The sequence below is a fragment of the Homo sapiens genome, chromosome X (genome assembly GCF_000001405.40).
Source record: "Homo sapiens chromosome X, GRCh38.p14 Primary Assembly".
Taxonomy (NCBI): domain Eukaryota; kingdom Metazoa; phylum Chordata; class Mammalia; order Primates; family Hominidae; genus Homo; species Homo sapiens.
The window spans coordinates 123,914,924-123,924,068 of NC_000023.11; positions in this window are offsets into that span (position 1 = coordinate 123,914,924).

Here is a 9,145-nt window from a genome sequence, read left to right on the forward strand (position 1 = left end):
TTTAGTAGAGACGGGGTTTTACCATGTTGACCAGGCTGGTTTGGAACTCCTGACCTCAAATGATCCGCCCACCTTGGCCTCCCAAAGTGCTGGGATTACAGGCGTGAACCACCATGTCCGGCCAGAAAGAAATTTAGAAGTTCCTGCCCACAATGGAGATTCCTGAATTAAGTTGTATTTCAGGCCCAGTCTACGTAGGGACTGGTTATCTAATCTTTGACAGTGTTATCACTGCACTGTTGTCTGAGATAAACCTTAATAACCATGTCTTAAACACAGTCCAAATTTTTTCTTACGTGTCAACTAAACTTTGATATTGAAGATGTGAATTTTCAAAGCTTTCTATTACAGAAAATTTTAAACTTAATACAAAAGTAGAAAGCATAATGACTCCACGATATTCATCACTTATCCTCAACAATTTGACATTTTATCAGTCCTGTTTCATCTAGCACTCCTTCCACTTGCTCACCCCAATACTCCAAAGTAAATCCTAGACATAATGTCATTTGTCCTGTAATTACCTCATTATATATTTCTTTTTTTAAATGTTTTATAGAGATGGGGTTTCACCATGTTGCCCAGGCTGGTCTTGAACTCCTGGGTTCAAGCGATCTGCCCGCCTCAGACTCCCAAAGTGCTGGGATTACAGACATGAGGCACCGCGTGCCCAGCCTTGTTATGTCTTTCTTTCCTTCTTTCCTTCCTTCCTTCTCTCTCTCTCTTTCTTTCTCGGGTTCAAGCAATTCTCCTGCCTCAGCCTCCTGAGTAGCTGAGAGTACAAGCATGTGCCACCATGCCCGGCTAATTTTTTGTATTTTTAGTAGAGATGGGATTTCTCCATGTTGGTCAGGCTGGTCTCGAACTCCTGACCTCAGGTGATCCGCCCACCTCGGCCTCCCAAGGTGCTAGGATTAAAGGCTTGAGCCACCGCGCCCAGCTGCCTTGTTATGTATTTCTAATGCATAACAAAAAATTTGCATAAATGTGTGAATTTTTAACTCACCACTGTTATTGCTGAATTTTAATATACATTTAAACAATAATTAGGCCGGGCACGGTGGCTCACGCCTGTAATCCCAGCACTTTGGGAGGCCGAGGCGGGCGGATCACAAGGTCAGGAGATCGAGACCATCCTGGCTAACACAGTGAAACCCCCGTCTCTACTAAAAATACAAAAAAATTAGCCGGGCATTGTGGCGGGTGTCTGTAGTCCCAGCTACTCGGGAGGCTGAGGCAGGAGAATGGCGTGAACCCGGGAGGTGGAGCTTGCAGTGAGCCTAGATCGCGCCGCTGCACTCCACCCTGGGCAACAGAACGAGACTCCGTCTCAAAAAAAAAAAAAAAAAAAAAAAAAAATCAACTTTATGTCCCATTTTTCCATATTTGAAAATTAAGGGAAATAAAACCCCCCATAACTGATATTATTGTTTCAAAAATACTTTTAAACCACGTTTTCACTATTTCATGTGGTAGTTTGCTTATAAATTGTAGAACAAATATAGTACTTATTAAAAGTTAGTAGACTAATGGCGCGCGGTGGCTCACGCCTGTAATCCCAGCACTTTGGGAGGCTGAGGCGGGCAGATCACAAGGTCAGGAGATCGAGACCATCCTGGCTAACACGGTGAAACCCCGTCTCTACTAAAAATACAAAAAATTAGCCGGGCGTACTGGCGGGCGCCTGTAGTCCCAGCTACTCGGGAGGCTGAGGCAGGAGAATGGCGTGAACCCAGGAGGTGGAGCTTGCAGTGAGCGGAGATTGCGCCACTGCACTCCAGCCTGGGCGACAGAGCGAGACTCCGTCTCAAAAAAAAAAAAAAAAAAAAAGTTAGTAGACTAACTACATGGTATATGGATACCTAGTGGTTCTCAAAAGTGCATCACCTGGGAATTTGTTAGAAATTCAAATTCCTGGGCCCCACCTCAAACCTAGAATCAGAAACTGAAGGTGCAACCCAGCAATCTTTTAATGAGGTCTCTACGTGGTATAGGTGCCAGCTAAAGTTTGAAAAACACTGGAATATCATATGGGGTCTGAAACCTATAAATCAAATTGATGTAGATCTCTGCAAATGATTATCATCCTCACCTTTCTTACTTTTCCCTATAACTAACTCATTGCTGGCCCAGTGTTGTATTTTCTCATGTTACAAAATATGAAGGCATAAAATACAATATCTTGTGAATGCCTTCTGATTCTACTTTTCCAAAAAAACTCTTGCATACACTTTGAACTTTGTAATGGGAATTTTTCTGCAACCCTTTCCCTGCTGAGTTCAACATAGCCCCACATTGCTCATTGCCATTACACTATCCTCCAGTTAAGCAATGAAAGAGTTATGTATTTGAAGGCTCACTCATTAGTGCTAGCCCAACAGCAACAAGTTGAGACTGTACAGAACAGACCTGCATTTCTAAAGAGCCAAAGCTTCAGTGCAACATGAGCCTTGAATTTGGAATGCTAGAATTTCAGAGTTGGAAGAAGTCAGCCTCTCTAATTCATAATAATTAGTAGTTCTGAATTCTTTTTTAGTTCTGAAATTTTAAAAATAATTGTGCCACAAAAGAACCAAAGAAAACTGGCCGAACACGGTAGCTCATGCCCTCCTCGGCCTCCCAAAGTGCTGGGATTACAGGCGTGAGCCACCTCGCCTGGCCTGGGCCTATACTTGTTAATTGTAGGCTTATGACTAAATATTGGAAGAATACTGGGTAAAAGTTAATAAGGGTCCCTGGAGTGTTTGTGCACCTGTATTTCCAGCTACTCAGAAAGCTGAAGCAGAAAGATTGCTTGAGCCTGGGAGTTCGAGGCTACAGTACACTATTATTGCTCCTATGAATAGTCACCGTACTCCAGCTTGCGCAACGTAGTAAGACCCCTTCTCTAAGAAAGAAAACAGAAACAAAGAATAAGAACCCAAGAGAAATCAAAACTGTTATTTTCTTCTTGTAATTTCCCAGAACTTAAATTTGCGAAGAAAGACTAGGATATAATAAATTGAGATATGTATTTAAACAATGATCTAGCTTCAAAATTTAATTTTTCTTACAATAGACCTTACTGTTCCAAAAATATATTTTACATACAAAATTATTAATGTCTATTTGTTATGTGAACTTTTATTTTGAGAGTCAGTTTTCTTTGTGTGTGTGTTGTTTATTTTTTATTTTTTCAGATAAGTGACTTGGAAATGTTTCTTTAGCTTTTTCCTGTTACTAGGTACTGAGGATTTCTTTTTTAATTCCATTAGCTTATATAAGGGGCTTTGCATTTTTGGCTAAGGCATAAAAAGTGTATTTTCTCGTTGAATACTGGAATTTTGTTTGGCAGAGATTAGGCTCTGCTTCTGCCAGATTACTGACAATTATGTTGAGGAAGAAAGGCAAACACATGAGTATGTTCATGAACACCTAACTGTTGTTTCAGGGAAACTAGGATTAAAAACAAAAGAAAGACTCCAAATCTCCTCCCATAAAATTAATCTTCTGAAGTTGAGAAAAACTTGCTAAAAATCATTTTATTTTTCATTAAACAAACATTACACATGGATTTCTTAGTAGAAATTTAACAAAGGTCTGTGTTAATCATTAAGTAAAGAGAATGATCTAACAAATCTGGAAAAACCTGTTTTTCTTTCAACTAGATTTTGTTGTTGTTGTTGTTATTTGATTACTAAAAAGAATGTACTCTATGCTGTACCGTTCTTGGTTTTCTGTTATAAATTTTTAGATACATTAGATTTTTATGTGATCCATAATAACTAAGTGAAAAAGCCCGGACAGGGTGGCTCACGCCTGTAATCCCAGCACTTTGGGAGGCTGAAGTGGGTGGATCGCTTTAGTCCAGGAGTTCGAGACCAGTCTGGGCAACATGGCGAAACCCCGTCTCTACAAAAAAAAATAGAAAAATTAGCCAGGTGTGGTGGCATGTGCCTGTAGTCCCAGCTACTCAGGAGGCTGAGCTGGGAGGATCACTTGAGCCCAAGAGGTCGAGGCTGCAGTGAGCCGTGATTGTGCCACGGCACTCCAGCTTGAGTGACAGAGCAAGAGCCTGTCTCAAAAAAAATTAAAAAATAAAAAAAATTAAGTGAAAAGACCTATATTGTGTGAATTGTAAGTCAATATTTGACTAGTTATATGAAGTGAAACATAAAAATATCAATACAAGAGCGTAATAATTTCTGTTCACCTACCTCAGAGGATTGTTGTAAGGATCATATGAGAAAATGTACATGAAAGAGATTCAAAAAGTACAAACCCTCTATATAAGCCTGAGGAATCATTCCTCTAATTAGAGTTTATTGGACTAATTATGTGTTAGTTTCACATGAAATGAAACAGTCGTGAAACAGTATGATTAATCAGGGATATAGCATGATGAAATTCATTTATACAGCTTCTTAGCCATTTCCATGGCTCTCAAAACCCTTTATATACATTATCTCTTTGCCTTCTACTCTCTATATGGTTACTCCTTATGTTTAAATCAGTATATGGGTAATGGCACTGAGATAATTGGAGAAATCGTTGTTGTGTACCATTGTGGAAATTGTGTTCTTAAGTCCTGCCATTCAAGGGGCCCTCAGATTTACTTGGACAGTCAAATCAGTTCTGTTTTCTAACATGAAAATAAGAATGTATGAAACAGATAAATTTAGGGATGTTAATTTGTACTCTCAAAGGATCTCTTGATACATAGTAGTGATATCAATTTACACAACAGCATCTCTGAAACTGTAATTTTCTTTTCTTTTCTTTTCTTTTTTTTTTTGAGGTGGAGTCTCGCTCTGTCTCCCAGGATGGAGTGTAGTGGCGCAATCTCGGCTCACTGCAAGCTCCGCCTCCCGGGTTCACGCCATTCTCCTGCCTCAGCCTCCCGAGTAGCTGGGACTACAGGCGCCCGCCACCACGCCCAGGTAATTTTTTGTATTTTGTAGTAGAGACGGGGTTTCACCGTGTTAGCCAGGATGGTCTCGAGCTCCTGACCTTGTGATCTGCCCGCCTCAGCCTCCCAAAGTGCTGGGATTACAGGCGTGAGCCACCGCTCCCAACCTGAAACTATAATTTTCAAAGCACTTTACCTGCTTTGTTTTGTAACATCTCTCTAAAGTGAGCAGTTTATTATAATTCTGCAGTTAATGAAATGGCCACTGAAAGGTTAGGTGACTTGCCCAGGGTCATACAGATAGGTAGAAGCAAAGCCATAAAAATAACTCTGACTTCTGGTCTGGTACTCTTGCACTATGCCATTGTGTTTCTTATTCATTATATTCCTAGCATCTCTGTAATTTACAGCTGAGAAACCCCAGACATAGAGGTTATATGACTCACCTAAATCATATGGTGAATCACCAGTCAAGCTGTTCTTATAGGCAACAAAGCTGTTTCTAGCTAATTTTTGGCATCATTTAGCTAAATTGGCTGCCTCACTGTCTGATGTATATACGTCTAAATCTAAGCTCCTTTTTGGATGGCAAGACCTGGCTGGCCATATGATACCAAACCACAAAACCAAATCTATTCAACTTGAATTGAAAAATTAAAGTAATTCTTAAAAAAAAAATAGTTTAACTACATTTCTGATCTCAGGAATTTGGAAATGGGAAAGATAACTTTTCACTACACTGCCAAGGCAAACCTTGGAAGTCAGGAACCATGTCTCCCTAGTCCCTATGTTATCATGACTAGCACACTATCTAGTCCATTAGTAGGCACTGAGTTAATTTTTGCTCAGTACCTAAATATATGAGTGAAGGAATGAATGAACAAATGAATAAATAAATGGAGTGGGAAGACCTCCCCATCCAAAAACTGTGCATTGACAAGTACAATACAATTTGGATCAATACTGATGTTTTTACAAATTTTTCTTTTCTTTTCTTTTCTTTTTTCTTTGAGACAGAGTTTTGCTCTTGTTGCCCAGGCTGGAGTGCAATGGCGTGTTCTTGGCTCACCGCAACCTCTGTCTCCTGGGTTCAAGTGATACTCCTGCCTCAGCCTCGCCGGCTAATTTTTGTATTTTTAGTAGAAACGGGGTTTCTCCATGTTGGTCAGGCTGGTCTCGAACTCCTGACGTCAGGTTATCCACCCGCCTCAGCCTCCCAAAGTGCTAGGATTACAGGCGTGAGCCACTGCGTCCGGCCTCCTTTCTTTTTTTCTTTTTTTTTTTTGAGACAGAGTCTTGCTCTGTTGCCCAGGCTAGAGTGCAGTGGTACAATTCCAGCTCACTGCAACCTCTGTCTCCCAGGCTCAAGGGAAACTCCCACTTCAGCCTCCTGAGTAGCTGGGACTACAGGTGTGCCAGCATGCCTGCCTAATTTTTGTATTTCTTTTTCTTTTTTTTTGAGACAGAGTCTCACTCTGTCCCCAGGCTAGAGTGCAGTGGCTGATCTCTGCTCACTGCAACCTCTGCCGCCCGGGTTCAAGTGATTCTCCTGCCTCAGCCTCCCGAGTAGCTGGAACTACAGGCGAGCACCACCATGCCCAGCTAATTTTTGTATTTTTAGTAGAGACGGGGTTTCACCATGTTGGCCAGGATGGTCTCGATCTCTTGACCTCGTGATCCGCCCGCCTTGGTCTCCCAAAGTGCTGAGATTACAGGCGTAAGCCACCGCGCCTGGCCCTTTTTTTTATTTTTTGAGATGGAGTTTTACTCTGTCGCCCAGGCTGGAGTGCAGTGGGCGATCTCGGCTCGCTGCAACCTCCGCCTCCCGGATTCAAGCGATTCTCCTGCCTCAGCCTCTCCGGTAGCTGGGATTACAGGCGTGTGCTACCACGCCCAGCAAACTTTTGTATTTTTAGTAAAGACAGGGTTTCTCCATGTTGGTCAGGCCAGTCTCCAACTCCTGACCTTGTGATCCACCTGCCTTGGCCTCCCAAAGTGCTGGGATTACAGGCATGAGCCACCATGCCCGGCCTGAAATATATATTTATTTTATTTTATTTTATTTTATTTTATTTTATTTTATTTTATTTTATTTTACTTTTTTGAGATGGAGTCTCACTCTGTCGCCCAGGCTGGAGTGCAGTGGCATGATCTTGGGTCACTGCAAACTCTGCCTCCCGGGTTCAAGCCATTCTCCTGCCCCAGCCTCCCAAGTAGCCGGGACTACAGGCACCCGCCACCATGTTCGGCTGATTTTTTTTGTATTTTTAGTAGAGACGAGGTTTCACCGTGTTAGCCAGGATGGTCTTGTTCTCCTGACCTCGTGATCCGCCTGCCTCGGCCTCCCAAAGTGCTGGGATTACAGGCGTGAGCCACCGCGCCCGGCCACCTGAAATATATATTTAAATTCAGCCACCTTGATTAATGAGTTTAATAGAACCCATTTCACTTCACTGTTACCCTCACCACCGTCTCTCAATCCTATTAAATCAAACTAACACTGTGTGTTAAGTGTTTGATGTGTACCCAGAAATTCTGGGAAGAAGGATATAAGAAAACAAGACTCAAACTCAGCCCTCCTGGGGTTTATAGTCTCGTTGGCAGAAAGAGACTTACATACATCATTCACAAGCTATTCCCTGATTCCAAATACAATACAGGGGCATTGATAACTGTTGTGTTGTTTAACCCAAAAAAATCAAAAGAACAAAAGAGTATAAGTACAGTGTGATACAGCGATAGATTGTGTGTAATAGACTATCATTACAACAGGAACACAGAAGGACAAATGAGGTGTGGCCCAATAATTGGAGTAGGTTTTCTGAAAGGAGTGTCACAAAAGCTAAAAGATCTGAGATTGACCAGGTGCAGTGGCTCACGTCTATAATCCCAGCACTTTGGGAGGCCGAGGTGGGTGGATCACCTGAGGTCTGGAGTTTAAGACCAGCCTGACCAGTATGGTGAAACCCCATCTCTACTAAAAATACAAAAATTAGCTGGGCATGGTGGTGCGCACCTGTGTTCCCAGCTACTAGGGAGGCTGAGACAGGAGAACTGCTTGAGCCCAGGAGGTGGAGGTTGCAGTGGGCAACCAGTGCACTCCAGCCTGGGTGACAGAGTGAGACTCTGTCTCACAAAAAAAAAAAAAAAAAAAAAAGATCTGAGGTTGTTCCAGATCCTAAAGCTGTATGATCGTATATGATACATTTGTCATTTTGTTTTGTTTTGTTTTCTGTGCAAGGTGAATGATGGAGGACAAAAGGACCCACTTGGTCTATTATGTTATAAACTTATATGTGTGTGCTGGCATATGTCTTGCATATTTTAATATGTTTCCATGTACATTTTATTGAATAGTAACTCTTCAAACAGATTACAGCTTAAAATGAATCTAGCGTCCCTTGCTTCCAAACAAACAAACAAAAATTAGAAGCCAAAATTTACTCAAAGCACTGCTCAAGCAGTCTGTCTTCATTTGGAAATGGTCAATTAACTCAAATGACAAATCAATCTGGAATAGGAGCAACTCCACAGATGATTCATGGTGACTGAAGGCGCCTGGTAACCTTTCTGTCTCCATTTCTTCATCTGTCTGTAGGGAATAATGGTCTTACAGAGGTGTTACAAAAAACAATTAAAGTTGGTAATGTGCTTTGAGAGCCATGGATGAACCAAGCTTTCAAAGTGCATAATTACATACTGCAGCGAGTCTCTCATACTTGCATCCTCTACTCAACTCTTTAATAGGTATTTGAAATGACACAACTCAGGTAGGTTTTCCATGTTCTCAAGTTACTACTACATTATTTATCCACTGATACCAGTTGTCTTTAAAATAGAATGCAACCCACAGTAGTAGTAAGGACCATTAATCCTTTGGACTTTAGGATACTTAAAGTCTTTCTTCTGTTTTTTTGTTTTTTTTTTTTTGAGACGGAGTCTAGCTCTGTCGCCCAGGCTGGAGTGCAGTGGCGCGATCTCGGCTCACTGCAAGCTCCGCCTCCCGGGTTCACACCATTCTCCTGCCTCAGCCTCCCGAGTAGCTGGGATTACAAGCGCCTGCCACCATGCCCAGCTAATTTTTGTATTTTTAGTAGAGACACGGTCTCGTCATGTTGGCCAGGCTGGTCTTGAACTCCTGACCTCGGGTGATCCACCCGCCTTGGCCTCCCAAAGTGCTGGGATTACAGGCGTCAGCCACCACACCCGGCCCAAGTCTTTCTTCTTGGGGAGTATAGTTTTCCAGATCATTTTCTA